Genomic DNA, 27779 nt, shown 5'->3' with positions numbered 1-27779 from the left:
CTTGGCAGCCTTCCCCCCACCAACAAGAAGCCAACTGCACATGAGAAGTGTCAGTTTAATGAAGCCAGCTTATCAGCAGGGCGGCGGAGCACACCTGCCCCCTCGCAGGTGTGCCTGGCTCGGGCTAAAGTGCCTGTGCAGAACGAGGCTGCCTGGCGGGGTTAGGAGTCGGCGCCCTCGTCCTCCTCCTCGGGCAGGATCTCCAGGCTGCTGTCGGGCTGCGGGGCTGTGTCCGTGGAGGGCGGCGGGGTGGGCGGGGCCCGGGTGGGCGACAGAGGCAGCGGGGAGGCGGTGGGCGAGGGGCTGTGGGGCTCTGCGGGCGGGGCCAGCCCCAGGATCTCCTGCACGTTGTGGGGCAGCTCCTGGAGGCACGGGATGAGAGAAGCGAAAAGCGGAAGGTGAAGGTGAGAAGGGGGCGGGGGTCGGTCGGGGTTCGGGCGGGGCGCTGCGGGGCGGACGGGGACTCACGGGGCAGGCGGTTAGCTGGCGGTGCAGGGCCTCGGCGCGGGTCAGCACGTCCTCCACGCTCAGCTTCATAGTCAGCTCGTTGATGTGCTGCGGGAGGGGGTGGGTCAGGCGCCAGTCGGCACTCAACCACCTCCGCCCGAGCGCCCACTCTGTGCTTCGTGCTGGGAAACAATGAAGACACACCGGGCTGGCCCTCTGGGGGCTCAGAAGTGCGCTGGGCGAGACATGCTTCTCAGGCCTCCGGGAGCATTCTGAGCACGTACTCGGGGAGGGAAGGTCCCCACCCACCTGCCCGGAGGACCTTGCTGGGAGCAGGCATGGCATGGGGCAGAAGGGAAACCTACGCGGCCCCACCCCCACTGCGCTCCCAACTAACCAGGCTTTCAATAATCCCACACTAAACACCTGCTCCCCGGAGGTACTGCGGCCCTGGGCAGCGCCCAGCTCAGGGGGGACAGGGCGGGGGCGGGGCCGGAGCCTCACCTTGAGGATCTCATTGGAGCCGAAGCCGGACAGCATGAGGGTGTCCCTCTCCATGTCCAGGATGGCGCAGGCCACCAGCAGGTGCAGATTGGGGCCAGGGAGCCCTGTCCACAGCACCTGAGGGTGCGGGACAGAGGGAGGGAGGGAGGTCATAGCCCAGCCTGGGCCTGAGGTCCCACCAGGGTCTGTCCCTCTCCGCCCAACCTCCCAGGGCAGGTGAGCCCACCCCTTCAGGCCTCTCGCCCAAACTGGCTGGCCCACCTCCCACAGCCGAAGGACATCCGGGAAGGGGAATTCCCTCTTGAACCAGATGAGCAGCCACCGGAAACAGAAGCAGAGAGAGCCGGAGTCCTGGGAATCTGGGGGATGACATGGAGCCCACTCAGCCTTGCCCAGCGCTGGGACTGAGAGTTTGAGAAGTCATCCTGACTGGAAGACCTTCCCCAAGTCTAGGCAAGTGACTTATGCCTGGCTGGGGAACCTCGGAGGTGAGGCAGGAGCAGCCCTGAACGCGGGCCCTGCCCCTCCTTCCTCCCACTCTCCAGAGGAAGTGTGCTATTATACTTCCACATCTGCCATGGACATGGAAGGGAGGCAGGACGCCCAGCACGCCCGACGAAACAGACCTCTGCCCGCTGCTGGTGAGCGCTAAGGGAACTGACACTCCTAGATACGCTGTAGCAAAAATTTAAGCTGAAGGCCGGGTGCGATGGCGCACGCCTGTAACCCCAGCACTTTGGGAGGGTGAGGCGGGTGGATCACCTGAGGTCAGGAGTTCGAGACCAGCCAGGCCAACATGGTAAAACCCCATCTCTACTAAAAATACAGCCTGGCCAACGTGGTGAAACCCCATCTCTACTAAAAATACAAAAATTAGCTGGGATGGTGCCACACCCCTGTAATTCCAGCTCCTTGGGAGGCTGAGGCAGGAGAATCGCTTGAACCCGGGAGGTGGAGGTTGTAGTGAGCCGAGATCACACCACTGCACTCCAGCCTGGGTAACAGAGCGAGACTCCATCTCAAAAAGAAAAAAAAAATTAAGCTGGTGTTGAACCTTTTTTTCCCCCCAAGTTAACTCAAATGAAAGTGAGAGTCTGAGCATTCTAACCTTTGAGGAAAGTAACAACGGAGGACAAACTCTCCAAAGCTGTGTGAAAACAAGCACTGTCCTGAACAAAATTCCACTTCTTGGAAGTGAACCTAAAGAAGAAATTACCCAGACTATGCACCGTGATGAAAAACTGCAAAGGACCCGAATCTCCAGCAGGTCAAGTTACATCAAATCTACCACATCTTGCAGGTGGACACAATGCCGCGCAGTCAAGAAAAGTGATGTTTCAGAAGACTTTGAATGACCCAGAGGCAGCCTCTGTCCTTGTGCCCTAGGAGGTGATGCTTTTCTATGGCTTAGTTTCCTCATCAGTAAGGTGAGGACAGAGTATCTCAGCTCCCTCCCCCGGGGGTCCTAAAGCATCGAGGAAATGTTCATGAATAAGTTTAACTTATTATCATCACCATCTGCACTCAAGAAAAACAATGATATCAAACAGCAACTTTAACTTTCTTTTTTCTTTTTTTTTGAGACAAAGTCTCGCTCTGTCGCCCAGGCTGGAATGCAGTGGTGCAACCTTGGCTCAAGTGATTCTCCTGTCTCAGCCTCCTGAGTAGCTGGGATTACAGGTGCTCGCCACCACCCCCGGCTAATTTTTGTATTTTTAGTAGAGACGGGGTTTCACCATGTTGGCCAGGCTGGTCTCGAACTCCTGACCTCAGGTGATCTGCCTATCTTGGCCTCCCAAAGTGCTGGATTACAGGCGTGAGCCACCACACCCGACCTTTTTTTTTTTTTTTTTTTTTTTTGAGGCAAGGTCTCACTCTGTTGCCCAGGCTGGAGTGCAATGGCACAATCTCTGCTCACTGCTACCTCCCCCACTCCAGTTCGAGTGATTCTTGTGCCTCAGCCGATCCCAACAGCTGGGATTACAGGTGGGCGCCACCACGGCTGGCTAATTTTTTTGTATTTTTAGTAGAAACAGAGTTTTGCTATGTTGCCCAGCCTGGTCTGGAACTCCTGGCCTCAAGTGATCCACCTGCCTGGCCTCCCAAAGTGCTGGGATTACAGGCGTGATCCCAGGATGACATTGCGCCCAGGCTAATTTTTAAATCTTTTTGTAGTCTCCCAATTTTTTTTGGTCTCCCAGTGTTGCCCAGGCTGGTCTCAAACTCCTTGGCTCACGTGATCCTCCCACCTTGGCCTCCCAAAGCACTGGGATTACAACCATGAACCACCACACCCAGCCTTACTTTTTCTTCTTCATCTTAATTTCCTGCAGTTTTTACATTGACCAAGTAATAAAGAATATATTTTTTTTTTTTTTTTTTTTTGAGATGGAGTTTCTTTCGCTCTTGTTGCCCAGGCTGAAGTGCCATGGTGTGATCTTGGCTCACTGCAGCCTCCACCTCCCAGGTTCAAGCGATTCTCCTGCCTCAGCCTCCTGAGTAGCTGGGATCACAGGCGTGTGCCACCAGGCCCAGCTAATTTTGTATTTTTAGTAGAGACAGTTTCTCCATGTTGGTCAGGCTGGTCTTGAACTCCTGACCTCAAGTGATCCGCCCGCCTTGGCCTCCCAAAGTGCTGGGATTACAGGTGTGAGCCACTGTGCCTGGTCGAAGAATAAAAATGTTAAAGCTGGGATGCAGCACCCCCAGCCCCAGGGCCCAGAGAACCAGTCTCTGATTCCTGGTTCAAGGTGAGCCACAGCCAGGTGGGGATAAGAAGTGGCAGGAATGCCTAGGTCCTTATTTCTGAAAAATACCCTGCAGGTTAAGCCAAAGGCAAAGCCCAAACAGGATCTAGGTGAGCATGAGGACGGGGTGAGTCAGCATTCCTGCGTGTCTGCATTTGGTGAAGTTTTGCTTCAAACAGCAATTCTGCCTCTACATTCTAGGTTGTGTGGGGATGTTTCTCTTGTTTGGATCAGGACCCAATGTCCAGGATGCCACTGTGGCTGCTACCAGAGAATCTGGCAAGGTCTATGGCCCCATTGTCTCCTGCCCACCCTCCCGAGAGACATACCCAGGAAGTCGCAGAGCAGGGGGTCCAGCACCCTCAGGAGCAGCAGCAGTCGCCCGAGTTGCCGCTTCATGGTCTCCTGGCTCTCTTCAAAGTTCCCTTGCTGTGGGACGGAAGGAGGGGGGAAAGAGCAGACCCCGTGAGGTACCAGGACACCTGATCGCTCGATAGGCCTGTGTCCCACCCCTGACCCAAGCCTCACCACGAGCTCCATGAAGCCACAGAAACACCAGAAAGCATCCACCTCGTTCTGAATGACGTAGAGGATCGGGGAGAGAAGATCACTCATGCCCTGGACGTAGCCTGGGGGGACATGGGGTCAGGCTGCAGCCAAGCCCGCAGCGCTCCCCTGGACAGCCCCGGCCACGCCCGTCCCCAGGCCTGGCACCCACCGAGGTCGAAGTGATACATGCAGTAGGTGAGGAGGATATCGTTCAGCAGGCCCAGCCCCGGGTTCTCGGGACCCTCGTAGAACTTGTTGGTCCTGTCAGTGCGGCTCACATCCCTTTCTGCGGGGACCGGGCACAGGGTGCAAAGGTGAGAAAGGTAGGGGGGCCCATCCCTGCTGGCCACCAGTGCCAGCCCCCACTGCTCCTCCTGCTGGCAGCCCCCAGCCTCGGGGTTTGCTCTGGGGGAGAAGCAGAGCTGGTTCTAGAAACTATCACTGATGCTCCTGCTGTGAGGCGCCAGGCCTCCCACTCACCAGCTGGCTATATCCTCCCACAGTAGGGGAAACTGAGGCCCAGGGAGGCAAAATCACTTGCCAAGATCACCAGGCATTGACAGAACTGAGACTGGGCCTGAAGGGAGCTGGGCTCCCCTTCTTTCCCATCCTGTCCCTGGCCTTGCTCCCCCAGGGCCATTCCCCAACAGCCCATGCAGCTTTCCCCCAAGATGCCCTCTCACTGGTCTTGGGGAGGCAGGGGGCTCCCTCTATCTCCCACTCGCACTTATGCCTGAGGCCCTCCTGTGGTTCCCTGCTCCCATCCACCCTAAGTGCCACCCCTGACACTGACCGATGAGGCTGCGGTATCCATGCAGAAGTGAGTTTCTCCGCTCCTGCTCAGGGCTCACAGATTTCCACTGCAGCTTCATGCGGAAATACTCATCCCTGAGTGACAGAGGGAAACAAGATGTGAGGCCGCCACTGTCTGCAACACCCAGAGACCTCCAAGCCTGGCGCCACCTCCCAGGTCAGCCCTGCAGAGCCCCTCCCTGACCACACAGACCCAAGCAGGTCACCTCGTCATTCTTGCCACTATCCCTTACACTTCACCTTCCTGGCATCTCTCACTACATAGCCTTGTGGCCTTTTGATGAAAATTTGTCACCCCCCACTGGACAGGGCACCAGGGACAGGGAATCGTCCAGCACTGCTGCATCCTCAGTGCCTGGCAGGTATATAACCTACACCAGGAATGAGGAGAGACGGGCCCTCCTAGGTTATAAAACATGCTGCAAAACTGTGATCATTAAAACAGTATGGCACAGGAATGAAAACTGCAATGGAGACAGACCATACAGGGGTGAGGATGGGTCTGGCTTGATCATTGCCGTATTCCACAGGCGCAGGATGGTGCCCAGATACAGCAGGTTCACAACCAGCGTCCACAGAACTTGCCCATTGGTGCCCTAGGAGGTACCAGGTGTCATGCCTGGCAGGGCAGGGCCTCCTGAGAACTCACGTTTTCTTGCGTATGTGGGCCTTGTGCTCCTCAGCTGTGCCTTCCCAGCTGAGGTACCCTAGGAGGAACTTCCAGGCCTCGCGCCGCAGGCTGGGGCTCAGACCCTGGGGGTGCAGGAGGGCAGGCAGCTCAGTGGGGCCTTGTTCTGGCCCTGCCCCATTCTTCCACCTGTCCTGGCACTCACCCCCGAGAAGATCCGGTTCTTCAGCTCAGGGACCTGCTGCAGGCGACCTTCAGGGCCCACGTGGCGTGCCCACTCCTCCTCTGTAACTGGAGGGCCCCGCTCCACGGTTGGCCGAGGCCCCAGCTCCACCTGCAGGCAAAGAGCAAATGAGCCTGGGGCTCGGCGGGGTGGTGGGGGGACCCAACCCAGCCTCAGTCCACAAGCTCAGAGAGCTTATTAGCTTGACGGATGACTAACATTCAGGGGCAGGCAGCAGCCTCTTCCGGGGCTCAGCAGCCAAGTCATCCCCCAGTTAGGAGGGGTCCCCCAATAAGGGTGAGCAGGTGCTCACAGTGTCTGGCAGAGCCATGAGCGCTTTCCTCATGCACCCCCTGAGGGTGTCCCATTACCATCCCCGTTTTACCAAAGAGGAAACTGAGGCCCAGGGAAATGAAATCATGCGCCCAGGGAGACACGGCCAGAAATAACAGGGAGGGTCCACTCACTACTCACACAGGAAATGACCTCGAATCCAGGCTCGGGCTCATCGTCGGGTGGCGGGGGAAGGTCGGAGGCGGCTCCCTCAGGCTGTGGCTGCAGGGCACCCCGGAAGAAGTTGGTCACTCGGGAGAAGCTGCTGAAGGTGGTGGAGTAGGGATCCTGGAGGAAGCGCTGGGGACGAGGCCAAAGGGAGGTCACGGCCCGCCCCTTCTCGTCCCTCCCTGCCCACACCCGCCAGGCCTCCTGCTGGGGACACTCACTGACACCACATTGGAGCTGTCCTGGTCAAAGAGCTGCAGGTGGTGGAAGGAGTTGGAGAGAGCAGAGGAGTCGTGGGGGAAGACAAGGTAGAGGCGGGAGTCCTGCGGGGAGCTGGGAGGCGGGAGGTGACGCACAGGTGATGCACAGGTAGGGGCCCAGTGTCCCAGGCTGTCTGTGCTCGGCCGACATCGGTTCCAGCTGCAGCGTCCCAACCACCCCTGGGCAACCCCTCATTTCAGGGAATGCTGTTAAAGGAGGCCCACAGCTGGATCCCAGGGGTGGGCACATGACTCGGGGCTGGCCAATGAGGGCCTTTCACCTTCCGGTCCAGTGTGACTGACTCAGGGACGAGCCAATGAGAAGCAGCTCTGGGATCTTGTTGGAACGTGGGGAAAGAGGTGCCTTCTATCCAGCCGGGTTGTTAAGCCACGGATACTGGGGCCCCAGAGAATAACGAACTCAGAGGGAAAAAGGATAACTGTTTCTAACATTTTGGGACCTGGGTCCTGCCTGAAATCAATACTCCTTTTTGACTTTTTAGTTATATGTGCTGGTCAACTCTTTGCCTGCCTTTAAATCAGTGTGAGTTGTGTTTCTTTCACAGCCCCGAGGGGTCACGCTGCAGCCATGGTGGGACTGGGCCCGGTTTAAGGCCCAGCACTGGGAGAGAGCTCACCTGGCCAACAGCAGGTAGCGGCTGAGGACGCGGAGCAGGGCGCGGGTGCCCCCGCGGTGGAAGTGCAGTGCGGGCAGGGAACCTCCAGCCTGGGTCACCAGAACCAGGTAGGCCCAGCTGAGGCCTGGCTTGGAGCGGCGGATGGACTTTAGCTCCCCCAGACTCACTGAGAAGGCCCAGGAGCCCTGGGGGCAGCTGGGCTCTGCACCTAGGGAGACGGCACTGTGTTGGGGGAAGCGCGTGGGAAGCCAGAGTCAGCCTTATCAACCACAACCCAGGATGTTCCTTCGGCACAGGCATCTCCTGAGGGCCCCGCCACAAGCCACCCCTCTGCCCCTGGCCTCACATTCCTTGGAAGCACAAATGAGTAAGATGGGAAGGGGGCCCAGTGGACATGTACCTTTCCAGAACCTTCCTAGGCACCCCTCGACCTGCAGGGTAAGGGCCCTATTCCTCAACCTGGCACTCGAGGCCCCTCGGGTCTGTCCTTCGCCCCTGCCTATCTTACCTCCAACCTTTCTTCACTCAAAATCCCACACTTGAGCTACAATGAAAGGCCAGCGGCTCCCTAAACACACGGGGGCCGCCTGCCTCTGGCTTGCACGGGCTGCTCTCTCTGCCAGAAGAGAAAACTCCCAAGAGTCCCTCAGTGCCAAGCTCCAGCATCACCTCTTCCTGGAAGGAATCTCCATTCCCCAGAGGGGTCACGTGCCTTCTCTGGATGTCCCCTGCACCCTGTGTGACCCCAGGATGGTGCAAATCACCCTAACTGGCTGCATCTGTCACCCCACCAGCCTCGAACCTCAGGGGCAGGCCTGGTGTGGGAGCACCCACAGCCAATCCGGGAGCCCAGTAGGATGAGCAAGGCTGCAGTCTCAGAGACACTGGCCATGTTGACCTGGGCTGGGACAGTCCTGTCTTCCCATTCACTTCCATGCTCCTGGGACTGGAAGGTGGTGACTGGTGGCCTTCTTGATTGTGGGCAGCAAAGCCCTTGGGACCGTGACCACTGAGGGCAAGATGTGTCCTACCTGGCCCACACGTGCTTCTCAAGGGCCGCCACCTCAGCCTACCTCTCGTGGGCTCTGAGTGGCAGAGCTGTGGCCGCACAGTGCTGATGACAGCCCAGTCAGGTTCATAGCCGGGGTCAAAGGTTGGTTCCTCCTCAGAAGCACATGAGTCACCCCCACTGGAGTCCTTAGGAGAGGAAAGGAGCAGACAGTAAGGGGCCATGGATTCAGATCTTAGCCTCGAGGCTACCCTGGAAGATAGCCCCATTGAATAAAGAGGGAAACTGAGGCACAAAGAAGGTACAGCAGGCCGGGTGCGGTGGCTCACGCCTGTAATCCCAGCACTTTGGGAGGCTGAGGCGGGCGGATCACCTGAGGTCGGGAGTTCGAGACCAGCCTGACCAATATGGAGAAACCTCGTTTCTACTAAAAAAATACAAAAAAATTAGCCAGGCATGGTGGCGCATGCCTGTAATCCCAGCTACTCGGGAGGGTGAGAAAGGAAAATCGCTTGAACCTGGGAGGCGGAGGTTGCAGTGAGCTGAGATGGCGCCATTGCACTCCAGCCTGGGCAACAAGAGCAAATTCTGTCTCATTAAAAAAAAAAAAAAAAAAAGAAAAAAGAAAGTACAGCACTTGCTCAGGGTCACCCAATGCAGCCAGAGAGCGAGCCAGGACTTGACCCCATGTCTCCCACTGCATGGGGAGGTCCATGCTACACAGCAGGTGGCTCTGCAGTCAGGCTGCGGAGTGCTCAATGGACACTGTTGTACTCACCAGGTAAATACAAACCAAAACCACAATAAGATACCACTTTGCACTCTTTTGAGACAGTGAGACTGTCAAAAAAAAAAAAAAAAAACAATAACAACAACAAAAAAAACACACTACATTTCCCAGGTTTCTTTGCAGCTGGAATCCAGGACACAGGACAAATTCTACCAACCAGATGCAGGCCAACCTGGAAAGCGGAAGTGATGTAACGCAACTTCCTGGTGCCTTGGCTGTGTTTGGCTGTGGAGCAAGGTGGAGAGTCATCTTCATCTTCATCTTCATCCTCCTGCCCTGGGGCAGCGCAGGTGGTCAGCTCAGCCTTCCAGTGTCTCGTCACTAGCTCTGTGGGTGCCGACTGACTTCCGGCCCCTGGGTGGAACTCATCAGCTCCAATGGAGGTCTCATTCCCCACTAAAGAACCCCCCTACAGAGGCATCCAACTTCTCCGTGTGCCTTGAAGGTTGTTCTGCTGTCCCTGAAATACCTTCTTGTCCTTTCATATCCTGGGAGTCCCAGCTCAAATGTCTGCTCTCCCAGGAAGCGTTGGGGATCTGGAATCAGACTGTCTGGGTGCAAAAAGTTCCAACACTTCCTAGCGTTTTCGACCTCATCTATCAGTTTCTCAAAAAGTGAGTAAGGGTCAGGGCTTAGGTGGGTCTGGATCTGACTTATCTCTGGGTCTCAGAATTGCCCAGGACGGGGTCCAGCCATGGGAAGTCCCAGGAGACATAACGAAGGGAAAGCCGGGAGCAGTGACGAAGTGGGTGAGTAGGCTGTCAGGCCCTGTCCTCTGGCACCAGAGGAAATGCCATTTCCCTTCAAGCAACTCGAATCCACATCTTGCACCCTGGCAGGGATCTCCCAAGAAGCAAAGGGAGAGAGGGGTCAGCCGTCCCCACGACCGTGCGTCTTATGCTCCCTGCTCTTTTTCCTTGAATGGGCATCCTCTGCCCATTTCACAGAGAGGAGCAAAAGGAGAGGCAGAGTACCCAAGCCTAAACAGGGTCACACATGCCCCACGAGTAGGTCTGGGATTGTACGCAGGTCCCTCAAATGACTTACAACAGCACGGACCTAGAAAAAAAGCGAGTGGAGAAGGGCAAAGCGGGTGGAGCCTACCTTCTTGGAGAAGAGGATTTGGGTGGAATCTCCAGCCTCCTCTACAGGAGCCCAGTGCAGGAGGACGTCATTGTCCTAGGGTAAGGAGGGAGGCGGGGTTAGAGGCGCTCCCCAAACCACATTCCCAAAACTTTCCGTTGCAAATTTCCAAACTTTCCCAGTTTCTACCCTCAGCCTTTCAAAGTCCCGCCCCTCATTCCAGTTCCCACACCCAGCCTTCTTCAGGTCCCACTGCTGACCGCCAGACCAAACTCCTACAGCTGCCGCCTGCATCCCAGACCGCCTGCATCCCGCTCGGAGCGGGTCCGAGCCCTGCTCCCTCCCAGCGCACCTTTTCCACGACACGGATGACACCAGCGATGAGAGAGTCTCGGTCCTGATACTTCTTAGCGCTGGTGTGCAGGTACACTCCGCCCTTCTCAAACACCACCTGAGTTGGGGGGAACCAGCGAGGGCTGGGGCCCAAGCGAGGGGACCAGCCTGGGGAGCCAATAGGGACGGGCCCAGGGAGGAGCCACCCTCAGGGGGCGGGGCCGGGAGGGCCATTGCCCCGGGACCAAGGCGGGGAGAATGGTCCAGCCCGCGTTCGGATGCTGACGTGCGTTCCACAGGGGGCAGGGCTCAAGGAGTCGCCTGAGCCGGGGGGGCGGGGCCATGGGAGGTTCTTCCCTGGGGCGGTGGACGGGAGGGTGACGGCGCGTTTATAAGAGATCGGTGTTTGCCAAGGCCGTGCCGGATTCTCGAGAGCCAAGGCCTGAGAGAAGAGCTGATCACTAGACGGGGCGTTTCGCATACACTGAAGCGAGGGAATGCGTCCTCAGTGCTTACCCTGTAGCCGGCTCCTTCCATAGTCGCCGCCGAAGGCCCCACTGCCCCGCCTCCTCCTTTTCCTAGTCAGCGTGTTGTCACTTCCGGAGAAAACAGTTCCCCTCCGGGCCGGACAGTGGTAGCGGCCCGACCCGTTCTAGAGAAGGAGCGGGTGAAACCATTTTTCAGAAGGGGGTTATTCCACTGGAACCTCGAGGGTGGATCGGAGTCACGTGGCGCAGACGCTGAAGGTGGATCCGGCTACGGAGAGTGCGCAGGCGCAGTGTTCGCCCTCTCGCCACGAAGTAAACAAGTGGGAGGGTCTGAGAGCTGCACCACCTGGGGCAAGCACGCCTTGAAACGCCCACTTCCTTCTCCATATTGTATACTGGAATTGAAGCCAAGGAGGTACCATTTTGCTCGAGGGCATGGCCTAAGCCGGTCAGCTAAGGCCATGTTAATACGGGGCTGTCCCATCTCTCTGCGGGGCGCGACAGCTGGAAGAGCCGAACGGATAAGAGAAGAGGAGGTGAGAGGAGCTGTACACCACAAGAGGCACTGAGGGACTCAGGATAACGGGATGAAGCCGTCAGTGCCCCCAGAAACGAAGCGGCCCCGGACGAATTTCTGAGTCACCGTCGCGAGAAAGCGGGCTGAGCCGCCATTTTGAAGCCTGGCAAACCGAAGCAAGAAATGCTGCCGTGTTGGATCTTTGCCAGCCTTCGTGCCGAATGGGAGCAGGTTGGAGGGAGGGAGAGCCAATATACACTATGGGCTGATTAAGCCCGGTTGGCTGCCATGTTGTTAACGAGCACCGATTTCCTCTACTTTTGTCGAAGAAGTTTATTGTGGGTCAGGGACGTCAGGTCGCTTGCCTTCGTTTACTGTGGTCATGATTGAGCATATGAGGACGGCCATTATTGTTGGGGGCAAATGGAAATGCTCTAGGCGGGGCCATTTTTCTTAGGGGCAAGCTGTCGTCACCCTTGTCAACTGGTTCGGATGAAGCCCCTGTGGCCGCCATCTTGATCTCGGGCGGCCCCGATAAGGGAGGCGGAGTGTGCGGAGAGGAGGCGGGGCAACTGCGCGGACGTGACGCAAGGCGCCGCCATGTCTTTTGAGGGCGGTGACGGCGCCGGGCCGGCCATGCTGGCTACGGGCACGTGAGTGGAGGCGGCGTTGTTAACCGCGGTGTGGGGAGGATTTGGCCGTCCTGAGGCAGCGGGGCGCTGGGAGGGCGAGCGGCTCACGGGAGGGGTATGGCCTGCACAGATCAGAGGGCAGAGGTCTGCCAGCGATCCTTTGCTGAGCGCTGGAAGGGGGTCGCCCGTGGGAATCGTCCTGTCAGACCTGAGGCAAATCGTAGACAGTCTCACCTTGCGGTTCCAGAGCGCCTGGGATCTCTACCTGGGCCGTGGACCACGTCCACGGGGTCGGGGGATGGTTTGGGGGGCCTCGGGGCGCCCCTCACCCGTCCAAAGGCGGGACTTCCGGTCCTGGCCTCCGTCTGGGCGGGATTTCCTGTTTTCTTCCTAGACCAGTGGGTCCTCCCTGGACCCCGGGCGAGGTTGGGAGGTCTCGGGGCAGCTGAGCGTGGCCCCAGGCGCTCACCCCATGGCTACCGCGTTCATGCTCAGGTTCCTCACATCTTGGGGTGTGGGGTACTAAAATTTCGACAGGAGGGGTGGTTCCACCCCTCTCCTCCTTAGCTCTTTTCCCTCCTCCCTGCATCCAAAGAGGACAGCCACATCGTGCTCCCCCTCCTGTGGGGAACACGTCTCACTTTCCTCTAATCTCTCCCTGATCTTACACGAAACTCGTCTATCGGGGCGGGTTCTTCCTCCATCTCTCAGCTCCTTGGAGGAAACAGGACCTCCTCTAGAAGCTGAAGGGTAAGGAGGACCCCCAGGTCTTGGCTACTCTCCTGTTGGGTAGCATTACAGGGTGCCCCTGGACCTTGGCAAAGAGGTCTGTGGAAGTCGCCCTGTCCTTTTTGCTCATGTCTCCTGAGTTGGGGGAGCCCTCACAACTCACTCACCCTATTTCACTCTTTAATCCCGTGGCTACTCCAAGATTGAGTACACGGAGAGTTCATCCTGACGTTCTCTTCCGGGACCTCCTCTCCCCCTCTTCTCCGCATGTCATTAGGGGCTGGAGGCCCGTGGAAGTGAGAGCCCCAGGCCTAGCACGGCGAGGCAGTTGACTTTGGACCAGCCATTTCTTGCTTAGAGCCTCAGTTTCCTCCCTCATCAGCTGGGAAGGACATGGGTGTGTTTGAGACACCGGGTACCCCCCAGTTCAGTGGGGTTTTGGGGCTGGGCAGTCAGCAGTTTCAGCCCCACTTGTGCCCTGTGTAGCTGTGTGCTTTTTTGCCAGTGTCCTAAGCTCTCTGAGCCTCACAGTTTCAGCCCCACTTGTGCCCTGTGTAGCTGTGTGCTTTTTTGCCAGTGTCCTAAGCTCTCTGAGCCTCACTTTTCCATCTGGATTAGAATATCTGCCCTCCTAAAGGCAGGCAGGATGGCGGTCAGGATTTAGAACAGGCCCCGGATCTAGACTTTCTGAGTCCAGGTCCCAGCCCTGCCTCTTCCAGTTGTGGCCCTTCAAGATGCTGACTGCCCCTGGGCCTGAGTTTGCAACTGTAAAATGGGGTGAACTGTAACTAAAGCTCCTGTCTCATAGTGTAGGTGAAAGGGTGGGATGAGAAGGTTGATCCCATCTTGGGTCCTTGCGTGGCTTCTGGGAGGTGGTGGATAAACCTCTTCCTTCCCTTGGGGCTTTGAACTCCCTGAGTGAGTCAGATAGGTGAGATGCCAGGTGTGGAATCCCAGCACTGAATAGGTGCTCAGCAAACACCAACATCAATGATCGTGAGTCATAAAAGGCCTGCAAATTTCATTCAGACTCCAGACTCCCTGCTCCCTTCACCCTGGTGGGCTGGACCACAGCTGTGCCTGAATCCGTGCAGTGGCGGTGTGCTTACTGCCTCCCGGAAGAGCGTCTTCCGCAGCCCAGCAGCTCTGGCTCAACCACGCTGGTTAATGGGGAAGAAAATGAGGCACAGAGAGGGCCAGTGAGCCATCTAAGGTCACACAGCAGGTTTGAGACAGAGTCAGGGCAAGGACCCAGCCCCCCTGCCCTCGCTCTTCTCACCCAGTAAGGAGACGCACCCTGCATTGTCTGCTTAGGGCCGACCTGTCCTGCAAACACAAATCCCTGACCTTGGGGGAATTCACAGTCTGATGCAGGAGGCAGCCAGGTTACAGCTGTCACAAGCTCAGGTGACATGAATGCTCATGGAGGAAGCCCAGGGCATCGGATGGGCTCCTGAAGTCATCTGATGCACCCTGGGGGATCAGGGACAACAGAGGACCTGCCAGAACAGTCTTGTAGGAAAAGCCGTGTGGATTTCCCAGCACAGAGAGCAGCGCCAGCACCATTTCAGCCCCGACTCTCTGAGGCCTCAGTCATAGAACCAGCCAGTTCCCTCTGGAAGGAAGTGTGCTGGGAAGGTGGCCACTCAGACAGTGTGGGACCCCCTATGGAGCAGACTGGCTGGATCTATGGGCGAGGGAAAGTTTCTTCCACCCTAGGATGAGTGAAAGGTTGGTGGGGAATGGAGCACAAGTCATCAAGGTCAGGGACCACGTTTTCTGAAGGCCTCGGGCCTCAGAGGCTCTGGAAGGCCGTGGAGGCAGGATGGCCCAGGAGCTGGGGATGGCCAGAACACCTAGAGCCTCCAGGGCCTGCCCTGAGGACTATGGCGAGGAGTAGCATCAGCTCCGGGTGCTGAAGGAACCCCCTGGGCCTTGTGCAGGACACTCTTGACGGGATGGCTGGGCGACGGAGCAGGGTGGCATCATCCATCAAATTCAACACAAGCCCCACGTGGAATTCTAAATTTTCTAGACACCATGTTAAAAGAGTAAAAAAAGCAGATGAAATTCCTTTTTTTTTTTTTTTTTGCCCAGGCTGGCTTCGAACTCTTGGGCTCGGTGATCCGCCTGCCTCGGCCTCCCAAAGTGCTGGGGTTGCAGGCCTGAGCCACCACGCCCGGCTCGTTCGGCTTTATTGTACTCAGTCTTCAGAACCCAGTGCAGGTTTTATTGTTAGAGGCCTCTCTGCTAGGACTCTCTGCTAGGACTCCCTGCCTTTCCAGTACTCCCTGTTCACATGTGGCTGGCGGCTCCCACAGAGGCCAGGGCAGGGCCAAAGGGGAAGGAGTACAGTGACTTGGGGCAGGAGGAATGGGTTGGGGCAGAGGACGTCGCCAGGGTCTGGGCCTGCGAGGACTGGATGGTGAGAATCCTGGGGAGTAGCAGGTTTGGGGAGGACACACAGCACCGCTGGGACAAGGTGGGTGGAGGGTGGTGAGTGCCATCCAGGGGACGGGCGGGCACTCTGAGTGGGTGGCGATGATGTAGGCCGCCAAGCCTCAGCCCCCTCTGTCCTGCTCTGGCCCGCAGGGCGCGGATGGCGTCGGGGCGCCCCGAGGAGCTGTGGGAGGCCGTGGTGGGGGCCGCTGAGCGCTTCCGGGCCCGGACTGGCACGGAGCTGGTGCTGCTGACCGCGGCCCCGCCGCCACCACCCCGCCCGGGCCCCTGTGCCTATGCTGCCCATGGTCGAGGAGCCCTGGCGGAGGCAGCGCGCCGTTGCCTCCACGACATCGCACTGGCCCACAGGGCTGCCACTGCTGCTCGGCCTCCTGCGCCCCCACCAGCACCACAGCCACCCAGTCCCACACCCAGCCCACCCCGGCCTACCCTGGCCAGAGAGGACAACGAGGAGGACGAGGATGAGCCCACAGAGACAGAGACCTCCGGGGAGCAGCTGGGCATTAGTGATAATGGAGGTGAGAGGGTGGGGGCAGGGGCGGGTGCGGCCCAGCGCTTGAGGTGCCCGCAGGAGGCTTTGTCGGGGTGGGGGCCTGCTTAGCCCAGAGTACTTCTACAGAAGTGCAGTCTCAGGACCCCAGAGCCAGACAGGCTTGCCTGGGGCTTGCTGTGTGATCTAAAGCCAGTCCCTTCCCTGCTCTGAGCCTTACTGGTCCTGGGGCCAGCTCTGTGCTGGGAGTGGTGGGCACAAGGACACAGAGCAGGCTCGGGCTTTTTTCTCAAGGGGCTCCCGGTCTAGCCAAGGAACTGGAGTCCCGGTGGGGGTTGGGAGGCTCTGGGGCAGGTCATGGGTAGAACCAGAGTCGTTTCCACAACGCCTGGGAGGCCAAGCAGGAGTTAAAGAGTTGTCTGGGATGCAGCCAACATCTGAGGAAGCCAGGGAGGGAGCAGCCAGCTGTTTTGGGGGGAATTTGGGGGTCGGGCACTTCCCGGAGGCTGGACTGTAACGCTAGGGCTTTGCGGAGTTAGTAGGAGTTTGATCAGTCACTAGGAGGTCCTTGTTTGTTGTTATTACCAATGGCAGGCCTCCTCACCATTGCTGGAGAAAACCCGTGTAGGGTGAAGGGCAGGCATCCTGAGTTCAAATCCTGGTGGTGTCCCTTAGTAGCCATGGGACCTCGGGCAAGTGACTTAACTTCTCTGGGCCTCCAGGTCTCCATTTGTGAAACAGAGGTCATAGTCATTGCATGTTTCTCTAAGGCTGTGTTTTGAGTCACATTGTCCCGAACAGATCGTAGAGGTTTCATGTTAGCAGCCCGTTGTGTGCAGCTGAGAGGGTGGCAGATCCATAGAAACTGGGTTGGTTTTTGCCGATGACCAGGCAGGCTGCTAGAGGAAGTTGTTTTTGAGGTGAAGGAAATGGGTCTCAGAAGCTTCAGGGAGGTGGAGGTGGTGGCTGTGGCAGTGGCCGTGGCTGAGGAGGAGGACACATGGAGCATGGCTAGGTGCTGCCTGGCCTGGGCCTCTAACTCAGGTCATCCACAGGGCTCTTTGTGATGGATGAGGACGCCACCCTCCAGGACCTTCCCCCCTTCTGTGAGTCAGACCCCGAGAGTACAGATGGTGAGTGTCCCAGGCTGTTCCCCTCCCGACCTGAGGGCAGGCACACGGCCGACACAAAGGCAGGGACAGAAGCTGAAGTCCACCCTCTCTTTCAGATGGCAGCCTGAGCGAGGAGACCCCCGCCGGCCCCCCCACCTGCTCAGTGCCCCCAGCCTCAGCCCTACCCACACAGCAGTACGCCAAGTCCCTGCCTGTGTCTGTGCCCGTCTGGGGCTTCAAGGAGAAGAGGACAGAGGCGCGGTCATCAGATGAGGAGAATGGGCCGGTGAGGGGCAAATGTGGGGAGGTAGGGAGGGCAGCTGGAAGGGCTCTGAGCCGCCTCCTCCAGGAAGCCCTCCAGCATGGATGCTGCTTTCCACCCATAAGCTAACTGAATCCTCCCCTCAACCTCAAGAGGCGAGTTCTTGGACACGAGCCTTGCAGTTTTAACAATTGCAGCCTTACCATGTGTCCTAGTGCCTTATAGAGAAGGCCTCTCCTTTCCAGGAGCGTCTCTATTTATAGAACACCTGCTCTGGGCAAGGCACAGGTGTTTTGGCATGCCCTCCAGTGGAGAAACTGAGGCTTGGAGGGTTCAGATCACCTCCCATCCCCACCCTGCACATTCCTAGCCCTTTGCAGAATTTGTCCCACCCCCTGGTCCCCTGTTCACCCCTTGTAGCAACCCCTGTTTGAAGCTCCTGGGCTGGGCTCTGCTGGCCTAGGTGGGTCCTCCTCACCCTTCACTGAGCCTCCCTGAAGCAGAGGGGAAACTGAGGCACTGAGGGGACATGTGACTTCCCTGAGAGGCAGAGCTGGGACTGGAACCCAGGTGTGTTTCAGGAAGGAGCTGTGGGCTTTGAGGGAGGAGGCCTGGGTCCCCACAGTCCCCCCCTCAAGCCTCAGTGTCCTTATATGCAAACCAGCAGTCACAGTGGTGACCTTTTCTGTGCATCCTCCCTCAATGAAGCAGTGAGCACTGAAGACCAGGAACAGGGCCTGGTGCGGGCGGGGTCCACCTGCTGCTGCTCTCTGTGCTTGCGACTCATGGCAACACAGTTAATTGAATGCTCTGGCCTCTTGCGTGCTGTGCCCGGGGGCTGGTCTCCCACTGGGCTCAGGTCCAGTTCCTGATCTGGGTCTCCGGGTCCCATCCTGCGAGGGGACAGGCCCAGCTCCGGGTGACGGGGGCTGTAGTGGAGGCAGTACTAGGTGCCAGAACTGCAGGCTCCTTGGCGGGGGCTGACACAGCGAGGGATCTTTTCTGTAGCGCAGTGGCCACATGATAAGGCAGTAACAGCTGATTATCTCAGCCCTCACAGAGACCCTGTTATCCGCCCCATTTTTCAGAAGGGGAGACTGAGGCCTAGGGAAGCAAAACCTCTTGCTCATAGTTTGTCAGCGGCAGAGGTCTGATTGGAACATGACTGAAACCCCAGCCCAGATCCTCAGACATGAGACGGTGCACTCAGCCTTAATGGCTAGCAGGCAACAGCACTTCCACTGTGTAGGAAGCAATGTCCTAGGCCAAGAAGGGGAGAGGGAGAGGGGCAGGTAGGCTTCGTGGAGGAGGTGTCTGAACCGGGTAGAAGGGTTCCTACGTGGAGCAAGACGGGGAGGGGCACTGCTGGCAGTGGGCATCGCAGGGCACAGGTGGCAGGGCAGGGACGTGCTAGAAGTGGGCTTGGAGCCCGGGTGCACCCCTGGACCGCGTGTGGGTGCAGGGGGATTGCCCTGCCGGCGCTGACCTCGCCCCGTCGCCGTCCCCGCAGCCCTCTTCGCCCGACCTGGACCGCATCGCGGCGAGCATGCGCGCGCTGGTGCTGCGAGAGGCCGAGGACACCCAGGTCTTCGGGGACCTGCCACGGCCGCGGCTTAACACCAGCGACTTCCAGAAGCTGAAGCGGAAATATTGAAGTCCAGGGAGGGAGCGCCCCGGGCCGCGTCCGCCCCGTCCCACACTACGCCCCCGCCCCACTCCCGGGGCCTGCTAATCTGAGGCCGATCCGGGACCGGCCTCCTTGCGTCTCCCATTCCCAAGATTGTCCCGCCTCTGCCAATCCCCGCCGTCCTTCCAGCCCACGACCTGCCGCGCCGAGGAGCGGCATCTGTCCCGTTTCCCGATTGGGTCTGTCGTCTCTCTCCGCCTAGCGACAGATTCCTTCTATTAAGGGATTGGCTCGCTGAGTTCTAAGCTCTAAATGGGTCAACTCCTTTGTTTTCCGCCTAGCGACAAGGGATTTGCTCGCACGGCATTGGCTCCATCCCCTAGTCGCTGGACAGCTCTTTTTTTGATTGGCTCAAATCCTGTAAAGGGCTTGACCAGTCTCTACATAGTCACCGTCCGCTTTTCCTGAGTTCTCCCTCCCAATTGGCTCCAGCTTCCTGGGGGCGTGGCCAAGCCCTCCTCTTCCCAGAATTGGCCCGGGGCCTTCAATTTACGTTCTTTACACTACGGGGACTGGGGTCGTCTTTGCCCACGTCCCGACAACTTGTTCCCTGACCCCCTCAGGGATGGCCCCAAACTGTCCCTGCCTCTGGCACCCCCTTTCATTGGTTCCATCCATCCCCACAACAGCCTGCCAATCGAAGCCCGTCCCTGCATCCAGGATGGTACCAGCTCCCGCCCCTCGCCCCCCACCTCCACAGGTGCCTTAAAGGGCCCTCGTCCACCCAAGGTGGGGGGCAGGGGCCCTCACTCTCCGGCCCTGGTGTGGGGGAGAGAGTGAGGGGTTGGGGGATCGGCAGTTGGGAGGGGCGCTCTGAGATTAAAGAGTTTTACCTCTGAGATAAATGTGAAGTGTGTTGTGAGTGTTCATTCAACATTTTCTGAAACCGAATGGCAGCGTCTGATTATCAGTGAATAGCTGGGGGTTGGAATTACTGTGCCCATTTTATTTACTTTTTTGAGACAGGGTCCCACTCTCGCCCAGGTTCAAGCGATTCTCCTGCCTCAACCTCCCGAGTAGCTGGGATTACGCGCCACTGCCGCCCGGGTAATTTTTGTATTTTCAGTAGAAACAGGGTTTCATCATGTTGGTCAGGATGGTCTTGAACTCCTGACCTCAAATGATCCACCCGCCTTGGCCTCCCAAAGTGCTGGGATTACAGGCGTGAGCCACGGCGCCTGGCTTTGTGCCCATTTTATAGATATGAAGACACAGGTTCATGGGGTGGAGGAGAGCATCCCAGTCTTATGTGACCATGGAACCCAATCTTGAGGAGGTGAGTGTTGGAGACAGAGCCCACATATTCACCAGCAAAGCCAGGAACTCCAGCCGGGAGTCTTCTATTATAAAAGGACTGGAGCAACTGGGCTTGGTGCCTCACGCCTATAAGCCCAACACGCTGGGAGGCCAAGGCGGGAGGATCACATGACACCAGGAGGTCGAGATCAGCCTGGGCAGCACAGTGAGACCCCTTCTCCAAAGGGAAAAAAAAATGGCTGGAGGTTAGAAAGCAGGTGGAACCTCGTCCGAAATTAGGACTAGGTAAACGTAGTCCCACCAGACCACTACCGAAAGAATGCTAACACTAAATAAGACTTAAACGGATCTGAGCACTTTGGGAGGCCGAGGTGGGCGGATCACGAGATCAGGAGATCGAGACCGTCCTGGCTAACACGGTGAAACCCCGTCTCTACTCAAAATACAAAAAATTAGCTGGGCGTGGTGGCGGGCGCCTGTAGTCCCAGCTACTCGGGAGGCTGAGACAGGAGAATGGCGTCAACCCGGGAGGCGGAGCTTGCAGGTGAGCCGAGATCGCGCCACTGCACTCCAGCCTGGGCGACAGAGTGAGACTCCGTCTCAAAAAAAAAAAAAAAAAAAGACTTAAACAGGGCTCACTACCACCCATTTTTTAAAGCTTTTGTCACGTGTTAGCTCCTTTAATCGTCATGGTAACCCCACGAAGCGGAAACGATTATCCTTTTTATAGATGAGGAAACTAGAACATCGAGGGTGAAGCCAAAGAAGGACTTAGGGGCGCTGTCGGGGGCGGAGGTTTCCTCGACTGACAATGACCATCAGATGGGAAAAAAATCTTCCTCCCTGGGATGAAAATTAGAAGTCAAGGTGGAAAGAGGCAAATCTGCTAACGGAGGATCCAGTCCCCGCTACCGGCCTGAGCCTCGCGTTGCAGCAAGAGAGATGAAGGTCAGGGCTGCCGAGAGACCCTGGGGGCCGGGAGTCGGGGAAGGGGCGTGGCTGCTGTGGGAGGAGGCCAGGCCCCGCCCCCCACCCACGAGGGGACGAGTCATTTCCGTCCGCCGAGGAACCGACCGCCGCCGGCCGGGTTGCAGGCGGGGCACCTCGGGCAGGACCTCCCTGGTCGGAAGTGGCCGTGAGCCCAAGCCGCGGTCCCGGGTGAGTACGGGGCGGGGCGGAGGCATGTGCGAGGCTCTCTGCCTGTACGCTGGAAAGTGGGGATTGCAACTCGGGGAGGGATGGAGCACGCGTCGTCGCCTGGGAAACGGGTCGACCCGCGGAAGGCGAGCGGGTGGGACTTCCGGAGCAGTTAATGGTGGGGAAACTTTCTAGTGGATGTGGGAGGAGGCGGGACTTCCTGCAGCAAATTGGGGCTGTGCGCCGCTCAAGCCCGTTTACCTGCTCCCCAGGCCGGCACCCAGGATGGGCGAGGTGGAGGCCCCGGGCCGCTTGTGGCTCGAGAGCCCCCCTGGGGGAGCGCCCCCCATCTTCCTGCCCTCGGACGGGCAAGCCCTGGTCCTGGGCAGGGGACCCCTGACCCAGGTTACGGACCGGAAGTGCTCCAGAACTCAAGGTGAGCGGGGCCTGAGCTGGAGGGGGTGTGGCCTGCTGCAAAAGCGGGAACAATCCAGAGGGACGCTTGGCTGCTACGCGGGATTGCAGTGGTGCAGCCAGCCCCGAAGTCGGAAGGTGCTCTCTAGGGAGTACAGGAAGATAAAGTTTGTGCTTGATTTAGAATTAGCTAGATCCTTTGGGGGAGAGGGGATCGAGCCGATTTAGGGAGGATGTTCACTGCGCGGATGATGCTCAGGCCATCGGGAAATCCAGAAACAGGCGACGACCTTCGTCAAGAGAAAAATGATCCTGTGGAGAAAAGTAAATGTCGCTAGGTTGGGATGGATGGTAACAGGCCAAGCCCCGGACCTATATCTAGCCACATTTTTTGTCAAGGAGGAAACCAATTCTGTAGAGAAAAGTACCTCCCTGTCCCTTGCAAGGACCAGTGTCAGGCAATCCTAGTGCCACTATCTGGCTACTGCATGTCAAGGAGCCAATCCCATGTAGAAATAAACTGCCTCTTACTCCCTGGATGCTATAGCCTGAAGCAGGCCACACTCCCCAGAAATGAGGGACCCAATCACACAAGGATGCAAATCCTGACTCCACCCCTCCAATCCTCAGTGGAGCTGGTCGCAGATCCTGAGACCCGGACAGTGGCAGTGAAACAGGTATCAGTGCCTCTGCAAGGGCCAGCAAGGCCTGGGGATGGGATTTGGGGAGGAATTGCAAGCCGTCAGTGAAGGGGTACATTAGGAAAATCTGATTGGGGCCGGGCGTGGTGGCTCAAGCCTGTAATCCCAGCACTTTGGGAGGCCGAGGCGGGCGGATCGCTTGAACCCAGGAGTTCGAGACCAGCCTGAGCGACATGGTGAAACCTGTCTCTCTAAAAAATTAGCGGGAATGGTGGCGCGTCCTTGTAGTTCCTAATCGGGAGGCTGAAGCGGGAGGATCCCTTGAGCCCAGTAGGTCAAGGGTGTAGTGAGCAGTGATCACCACACTGTACTTCAGCCTGGGTGACAGAGCGAGAACCTGTCTCAAAAAAAGAAAAGAAAAAATATGGCTGGGAGAGAAGGGGATGTGTCCAGTAAAGAAAGAAGTGTTGCCTGTTTCAGTGGGGTGGGTACCTGTCCAAGACCTTAGAAATTGGACAAGGCGGCCAGGCGCGGTGGCTCACGCCTGTAATCCCAGCACTTTGGGAGGCTAGGCGGGCGGATCACCCGAGATCAGGAGTTTGTGACCAGCCTGGCCAACATGGCGAAACCCCATCTCTACTAAAAATACAAAAATTAGCGGGGCATGGTGGCGGGTGCCTGTAATCCCAGCTACTCGGGTAGCTGAGGCAGGAGAATCGTTTGAACCCAGGAGGCACAGGTTTCAATGAGCCAAGATTGCACCACTGCACTCCAGCCTGGGCGACAAAACAAGCCTATATCTCCAGGGGAAAAAAAAAAAAAAAAAAAAAAAAGATTCGGACAAGGCTGAAAACCTGTAACCGTTCCAAAGCCCGTTCCAAAGTGAAGAGGTGGGGCCTAAGGGTCTGATAGTGGTGGAGAAGGGCTGATTTTTCCGCTGGGTATTTGATTGGAGGAAGCTCCCGGTGGGGGCGGAGCCAGTCCCAGCTCCTCCCTCTCTTTCTGCAGCTGGGAGTTAACCCCTCAACTACCGGGACCCAGGAGTTGAAGCCGGGGTTGGAGGGCTCTCTGGGGGTGGGGGACACACTGTATTTGGTCAATGGCCTCCACCCACTGACCCTGCGCTGGGAAGAGACCCGCACACCAGAATCCCAGCCAGATACTCCGCCTGGCACCCCTCTGGTGTCCCAAGATGAGAAGAGAGATGCTGAGCTGCCGAAGAAGCGTATGCGGAAGTCAAACCCCGGCTGGGAGAACTTGGAGAAGTTGCTAGTGTTCACCGCAGCTGGGGTGAAACCCCAGGGCAAGGTGAGGGCCACGCCGAGGGCTGAGGGAGCCGCCACAGACTGGGACCCAATCCCACGTTTGTTGCGTGCTCTCAACTTTTTAGCCTCTACTTACTTTTCTGAGAAATGGGCCTAATGATAAATGCAGGGATCGTTGTAAGCAGTTAAGCAGTGGGGAGAATGATATATGTCAGCTCCTGCGTTACCCACAGTGACCACCCAGTAATCAGCAATGACCATGACTGTCTCAGTAGGAGCTATTACGATGAGGATTTTTTATGTCCAGAGAGACTTGAGTTCAAATGCTGTTACCACCACATTCTGAGTCCCATGTGTCTCATCTCTACGATGCTGAATCCATAAAAAAAGCACGTGGCATAGTTCCTGACATGCAGTTAGCACCCAAAGCTTTGCTCCTGCTTTTATTTTCACGGTTATTAGCCCACCGAGGTGGTGAAGGCCAGGGGAAGAAGGAGGCTGGGTAAGACATTAACCCCCATTTTAAAGACTGTAATCCTGGGGCTGGCGTCATAAGGAGTAACAGGAGACAGTAAGGTTAAGATGTCGGGCCCCACTCAGAGGCATCACGGATGCTTGAGATGGAGGTGCTCTGTGACTCGGTTTCCCCATCTGTGAGATGGCAGTGATAACACCCTGCCTGGCAGGGTTGGTGTGAGTCAGCCTGTGAGTGAGGAGGGTCAGAGGTATCACAGTGCTGCTGTTTGTCTTTCCTTGGTGACACCAGGTGGCTGGCTTTGATCTGGACGGGACGCTCATCACCACACGCTCTGGGAAGGTCTTTCCCACTGGCCCCAGTGACTGGAGGTGATAAGAGGCAAAACAAGGGAGTGAGTGAGGCCTGGAGTCCACCTCTGGCCCCGGGTCACCCCTGCCGCTTCATACCTGCCGTAGGATCTTGTACCCAGAGATTCCCCGTAAGCTCCGAGAGCTGGAAGCCGAGGGCTACAAGGTATGTGCAGCCGCCTGTCTGCATGGGCACGTGCACGTGGCGGTCCGACCGCAGTCAGACCAAGGCCCTGGTGAGCAGAGCGTCTGGTGACACCCTTTGCTCCCCAGCTGGTGATCTTCACCAACCAGATGAGCATCGGGCGCGGGAAGCTGCCAGCCGAGGAGTTCAAGGCCAAGGTGGAGGCTGTGGTGGAGAAGCTGGGGGTCCCCTTCCAGGTATGGCTGGAAGGGAGGCTGGGAGCTATGTGGGGGCACAGAGATCCAGAGCGAGGGCTTTAGACTCCAGGGTAAGCGGGGCGGAGGCCTCAGGCAGTGTGATGCTGATAGGAACCCATCATCAGCTACAAATTCTGGGCTGGGGTGGCATCCAGTAGGTGCTTGAGGGGGAGCTAAAGCTGGTGGCCCCCTCCCATCCACAGGTGCTGGTGGCCACGCACGCAGGCTTGTACCGGAAGCCGGTGACGGGCATGTGGGACCATCTGCAGGAGCAGGTGAGTCTTGCAGCCTGCCCGGCCCCCCTCCTTTTCCTCACTCCAGCCCCTCACTCCTGGGCTCCCCGGCCTCCGGTTGGGGCCTCCTTACTCCTCTGTCCTCTCTCGCTCCCTCCTTCTGTTTTTTGCTGTGACATCTTAGATGTTGGTTTACGAGACCAGTGCTTTCAGACTTTCTACATCAGAGTAGTAGGGAAGCTGTTCATTCCTTCGTTCATTCGTTTGTGTGTGCATTTGTTCTGAAGTTTAGCGCATTCTTGAGCTGAAGGTATCAGTGAGCGGGACGGCCTGCTCCAGCAGGGCCCTCACGGCGAGGGCGGTGACTCTAGGCGGATGGGCAGACTGGCGTGTAAAACAGCAGGAGGGAGGGAGCTGGAGAAAGCAGGCATCACCCGTGGTGGGCAGGGATGGCCTCTGAGGAGGTGACATCAGAGGAAAAGGCCTAAGGCAGGGAAAGGAGGGAGCCAGGTGGACACCTGGGGAAAGCGGTCCCCCCCCTTGTGGGAGTGACAGCAAGTGCAAAGGCCCTGAGGCAGTCCCTAGCCTGGGCTAGTTAGGGACAGCGAGGCCCATGCGGCTGGCTCTAAGCGAGGGAGGGGAGAGGGCAGGGCCACAGGGAGGGCCCCGCTTTTGCCCTGAGGGAGGGGGAACCTGGGAGGCGCCGGCACGCCGGAGGCTGGAGCTGTAGCAGGGTGGGTGCCCTCCGGTGGCCGCGTGGGGAACGGGAGGAGGTGAAGTCGGGAGACCTGGAGGGAGGGGGCTGTGTGGAGAGACCACGGAGGGGGGAGGGGGCCAGGAGCACGGTGCAAAGTGGCTGGAGAGTGAGGACATGAAAGGTCGGGGGATGATTCCTGATGTGGGGCACAGACCAGGCGAAGCAGCCCCAGGGACCCGCTACCGCTGCGGGGGGACATTTGTGGGAAGGGCCTCCTCACTACCGTCTCCCGTAGGCCAACGACGGCACGCCCATATCCATCGGGGACAGCATCTTTGTGGGAGGTAAGGGCCTGGAGGCTGCTGAGGGTGGGCTGGGACGCCTCCCTCCGAGCTGGTGGGAACGGGGTGTCCCGTGTGTTCCAGACGCAGCCGGACGCCCGGCCAACTGGGCCCCGGGGCGGAAGAAGAAAGACTTCTCCTGCGCCGATCGCCTGGTGAGGCCCCTGCCCCCTGCCCCGCGCCCGAGCCCGACCCTGGCCTGTGTCTGATGTTCGTCCTCAACCCCTAGTTTGCCCTCAACCTTGGCCTGCCCTTCGCCACGCCTGAGGAGTTCTTTCTCAAGTGGCCAGCAGCCGGCTTCGAGCTCCCAGCCTTTGATCCGGTGAGGCCCTGGGGCGGGGGTGGGGGTGGGGATGGGAGGGCTCCCGGGGATGGGGACGGCATCTCACGCGTGTCCCCCGCCCCTCGCAGAGGACTGTCTCCCGCTCAGGGCCTCTCTGCCTCCCCGAGTCCAGGGCCCTCCTGAGCGCCAGCCCGGAGGTGGTTGTCGCAGTGGGATTCCCTGGGGGTAAGTGTCCTGTTCCTGTGCGCGTGCCCTGAGCCCCGCCTGGGTCCTAGGCCACCCACCGACACTGCCCCCCACACAGCCGGGAAGTCCACCTTTCTCAAGAAGCACCTCGTGTCGGCCGGATATGTCCACGTGAACAGGGTATGACCAGGCTTTTGCCGCCCCAAATCTATTATAAAGTTCCCATCTCCACCTCTCAACTGGTTTGGGGCGGCTTTCCTCCATCATTGCCTCCCCGTCCCCGCTCGGGGTCTTCTCTCCCCCTGGGTCTGCCGATCTGTTTGTGACCTCTCGTGTCCCCAGGACACGCTAGGCTCCTGGCAGCGCTGTGTGACCACGTGTGAGACAGCCCTGAAGCAAGGGAAACGGGTCGCCATCGACAACACAAACCCAGACGCCGCGAGCCGCGCCAGGTAGCGTGACCGCGGGGCCGTAGGTGGCCTGCGGCGGGGTGGGCGGGGCCTGCACATCCAGCTCCTTCCCCCACAGGTACGTCCAGTGTGCCCGAGCCGCGGGCGTCCCCTGCCGCTGCTTCCTCTTCACCGCCACTCTGGAGCAGGCGCGCCACAACAACCGGGTGAGCCCGCTCAGCCCGGACACCCCCCGGGCTGCACCCCCTGACCCCCCTCCTCCCCTGACCCCTGGGCCTGCCGCCCCTCTGATGTTCCCCACAGTTTCGAGAGATGACGGACTCCTCTCATATCCCCGTGTCAGACATGGTCATGTATGGCTACAGGTACTGTTGGGGATAGCAGGGGGCAGGGGCACTGGCTGGGCCACATGATCCAGGCTGTCCCTCACTGTTCCCACCACTGCCAGGAAGCAGTTCGAGGCCCCAACGCTGGCTGAAGGCTTCTCTGCCATCCTGGAGATCCCGTTCCGGCTATGGGTGGAGCCGAGGCTGGGGCGGCTGTACTGCCAGTTCTCCGAGGGCTGAGCCCCGCCCAGCTCCCCTCCACAATAAACGCTGTTTCTCCTTGAGCTTGGCCGGCATTTTGCTGGAAGGAGGGTGGTCCCCACGGGGGAGGGGCTCCAGGCCTGCCAGTTTCTTACATGGAGGAGGCTTTAAGGACATTTTCAGGTAACAAAAGGTGGGGCCCTACCGAGGGGAGTCCAGCTGGGACCTGGCATGAGCACTTTAGACATTAGCCGGGGAACACACAGGGAGGGCGCTGTGT

General features: G+C 58.4%; 3 protein-coding genes, 1 long non-coding RNA gene and 1 other non-coding gene across 14 annotated transcripts, besides 15 other annotated features; 3 read left to right on the top strand and 2 right to left on the bottom strand.

The window, feature by feature from the left end:
* TBC1D17 (TBC1 domain family member 17) lies at positions 36–11084 on the bottom strand. Of its 4 annotated transcripts, NM_024682.3 has the most exons (17): positions 11042–11084; positions 10545–10643; positions 10214–10288; positions 8384–8507; positions 7311–7518; positions 6634–6745; positions 6386–6544; positions 5894–6022; positions 5710–5813; positions 5041–5135; positions 4417–4533; positions 4227–4327; positions 4028–4127; positions 1213–1310; positions 952–1068; positions 469–555; positions 36–362 (listed from the first exon to the last, which is right to left on the bottom strand). In NM_024682.3, exons 1-17 carry the CDS (start codon positions 11060–11062, stop codon positions 162–164), a joined length of 1947 nt encoding a protein of 648 aa, NP_078958.2. In that variant the 5' UTR covers positions 11063–11084; the 3' UTR covers positions 36–161. The 4 variants fall into 4 exon arrangements, with proteins under 4 accessions (NP_078958.2, NP_001161694.1, XP_047295400.1 ...); NM_001168222.2 differs by lacking the exon at positions 10545–10643; XM_047439444.1 differs by lacking the exon at positions 36–362 and having other exon boundaries at positions 537–629.
* LOC124904743 (uncharacterized) lies at positions 343–6696 on the top strand. 3 transcript variants are annotated; one of them, XR_007067293.1, is made up of 4 exons: positions 1310–1592; positions 2023–2340; positions 3900–5217; positions 6612–6696. It is a non-coding gene; the product is annotated as an uncharacterized LOC124904743 (long non-coding RNA). The 3 variants fall into 3 exon arrangements; XR_007067292.1 differs by lacking the exons at positions 3900–5217; positions 6612–6696 and adding an exon at positions 343–404 and having other exon boundaries at positions 1163–1592; positions 2023–2580; XR_007067291.1 differs by lacking the exon at positions 6612–6696 and having other exon boundaries at positions 3900–5524.
* Positions 556–611, bottom strand: MIR4750 (microRNA 4750). The gene has a single exon (NR_039905.2). It is a non-coding gene; the product is annotated as a microRNA 4750 (primary transcript).
* Positions 9931–10890: an enhancer, noted in NCBI's record as "H3K27ac hESC enhancer chr19:50381153-50382112 (GRCh37/hg19 assembly coordinates)". NCBI's record gives its function as "activates a minimal SCP1, AML or CMV promoter by ChIP-STARR-seq in primed H9 embryonic stem cells {active_cell/tissue: H9 hESC(primed)}" and the evidence as "EXISTENCE:reporter gene assay evidence [ECO:0000049][PMID:30033119]".
* On the top strand, positions 10430–19753 carry AKT1S1 (AKT1 substrate 1). 5 transcript variants are annotated; one of them, NM_001278160.2, is made up of 5 exons: positions 10430–10616; positions 15484–15869; positions 16897–16974; positions 17070–17239; positions 18726–19747. In NM_001278160.2, exons 2-5 carry the CDS (start codon positions 15491–15493, stop codon positions 18867–18869), a joined length of 771 nt encoding a protein of 256 aa, NP_001265089.1. In that variant the 5' UTR covers positions 10430–10616; positions 15484–15490; the 3' UTR covers positions 18870–19747. The 5 variants fall into 5 exon arrangements, with proteins under 5 accessions (NP_001265089.1, NP_001092102.1, NP_115751.3 ...); NM_001098632.2 differs by lacking the exon at positions 10430–10616 and adding an exon at positions 11399–11761 and having other exon boundaries at positions 18726–19753; NM_032375.5 differs by lacking the exon at positions 10430–10616 and adding an exon at positions 11399–12183 and having other exon boundaries at positions 18726–19753.
* Positions 10598–10887: a silencer, noted in NCBI's record as "silent region_10943". NCBI's record gives its function as "represses an Ori minimal core promoter by ATAC-STARR-seq in GM12878 lymphoblastoid cells {active_cell/tissue: GM12878}" and the evidence as "EXISTENCE:reporter gene assay evidence [ECO:0000049][PMID:35858748]".
* Positions 11108–11447: an enhancer, noted in NCBI's record as "active region_14965". NCBI's record gives its function as "activates an Ori minimal core promoter by ATAC-STARR-seq in GM12878 lymphoblastoid cells {active_cell/tissue: GM12878}" and the evidence as "EXISTENCE:reporter gene assay evidence [ECO:0000049][PMID:35858748]".
* Positions 11628–12267: an enhancer, noted in NCBI's record as "active region_14964". NCBI's record gives its function as "activates an Ori minimal core promoter by ATAC-STARR-seq in GM12878 lymphoblastoid cells {active_cell/tissue: GM12878}" and the evidence as "EXISTENCE:reporter gene assay evidence [ECO:0000049][PMID:35858748]".
* Positions 11628–12810: a biological region, named in NCBI's record as "NANOG-H3K27ac-H3K4me1 hESC enhancer GRCh37_chr19:50379233-50380192".
* Positions 11851–12810: an enhancer, noted in NCBI's record as "NANOG-H3K27ac-H3K4me1 hESC enhancer chr19:50379233-50380192 (GRCh37/hg19 assembly coordinates)". NCBI's record gives its function as "activates a minimal SCP1, AML or CMV promoter by ChIP-STARR-seq in naive and primed H9 embryonic stem cells {active_cell/tissue: H9 hESC(naive and primed)}" and the evidence as "EXISTENCE:reporter gene assay evidence [ECO:0000049][PMID:30033119]".
* Positions 18127–18774: an enhancer, noted in NCBI's record as "NANOG-H3K27ac-H3K4me1 hESC enhancer chr19:50373269-50373916 (GRCh37/hg19 assembly coordinates)". NCBI's record gives its function as "activates a minimal SCP1, AML or CMV promoter by ChIP-STARR-seq in primed H9 embryonic stem cells {active_cell/tissue: H9 hESC(primed)}" and the evidence as "EXISTENCE:reporter gene assay evidence [ECO:0000049][PMID:30033119]".
* Positions 18127–18999: a biological region, named in NCBI's record as "NANOG-H3K27ac-H3K4me1 hESC enhancer GRCh37_chr19:50373269-50373916".
* Positions 18690–18999: a silencer, noted in NCBI's record as "silent region_10942". NCBI's record gives its function as "represses an Ori minimal core promoter by ATAC-STARR-seq in GM12878 lymphoblastoid cells {active_cell/tissue: GM12878}" and the evidence as "EXISTENCE:reporter gene assay evidence [ECO:0000049][PMID:35858748]".
* Positions 20973–21754: an enhancer, noted in NCBI's record as "NANOG-H3K27ac-H3K4me1 hESC enhancer chr19:50370289-50371070 (GRCh37/hg19 assembly coordinates)". NCBI's record gives its function as "activates a minimal SCP1, AML or CMV promoter by ChIP-STARR-seq in naive and primed H9 embryonic stem cells {active_cell/tissue: H9 hESC(naive and primed)}" and the evidence as "EXISTENCE:reporter gene assay evidence [ECO:0000049][PMID:30033119]".
* Positions 20973–21813: a biological region, named in NCBI's record as "NANOG-H3K27ac-H3K4me1 hESC enhancer GRCh37_chr19:50370289-50371070".
* Positions 21074–21373: a silencer, noted in NCBI's record as "silent region_10941". NCBI's record gives its function as "represses an Ori minimal core promoter by ATAC-STARR-seq in GM12878 lymphoblastoid cells {active_cell/tissue: GM12878}" and the evidence as "EXISTENCE:reporter gene assay evidence [ECO:0000049][PMID:35858748]".
* Positions 21210–27582, top strand: PNKP (polynucleotide kinase 3'-phosphatase). Its single transcript, NM_007254.4, has 17 exons — positions 21210–21317; positions 21569–21732; positions 22341–22387; positions 23360–23659; positions 24383–24462; positions 24550–24607; positions 24715–24822; positions 25026–25097; positions 26048–26096; positions 26178–26248; positions 26323–26415; positions 26505–26601; positions 26681–26742; positions 26905–27014; positions 27091–27178; positions 27276–27337; positions 27421–27582. The coding sequence occupies exons 2-17, from the start codon at positions 21582–21584 to the stop codon at positions 27536–27538; spliced, it is 1566 nt and encodes a 521-aa protein (NP_009185.2). The 5' UTR covers positions 21210–21317; positions 21569–21581; the 3' UTR covers positions 27539–27582.
* Positions 21444–21813: a silencer, noted in NCBI's record as "silent region_10940". NCBI's record gives its function as "represses an Ori minimal core promoter by ATAC-STARR-seq in GM12878 lymphoblastoid cells {active_cell/tissue: GM12878}" and the evidence as "EXISTENCE:reporter gene assay evidence [ECO:0000049][PMID:35858748]".
* Positions 21755–22537: an enhancer, noted in NCBI's record as "NANOG-H3K27ac-H3K4me1 hESC enhancer chr19:50369506-50370288 (GRCh37/hg19 assembly coordinates)". NCBI's record gives its function as "activates a minimal SCP1, AML or CMV promoter by ChIP-STARR-seq in naive H9 embryonic stem cells {active_cell/tissue: H9 hESC(naive)}" and the evidence as "EXISTENCE:reporter gene assay evidence [ECO:0000049][PMID:30033119]".
* Positions 22538–23320: an enhancer, noted in NCBI's record as "H3K4me1 hESC enhancer chr19:50368723-50369505 (GRCh37/hg19 assembly coordinates)". NCBI's record gives its function as "activates a minimal SCP1, AML or CMV promoter by ChIP-STARR-seq in naive H9 embryonic stem cells {active_cell/tissue: H9 hESC(naive)}" and the evidence as "EXISTENCE:reporter gene assay evidence [ECO:0000049][PMID:30033119]".

Source organism: Homo sapiens, chromosome 19 (assembly GCF_000001405.40).
Source record: "Homo sapiens chromosome 19, GRCh38.p14 Primary Assembly".
Lineage (NCBI taxonomy): Eukaryota > Metazoa > Chordata > Mammalia > Primates > Hominidae > Homo > Homo sapiens.
The sequence above is the reverse complement of the archived record's forward strand: the minus strand, read 5'-3'. Positions and strand labels throughout refer to the sequence as shown.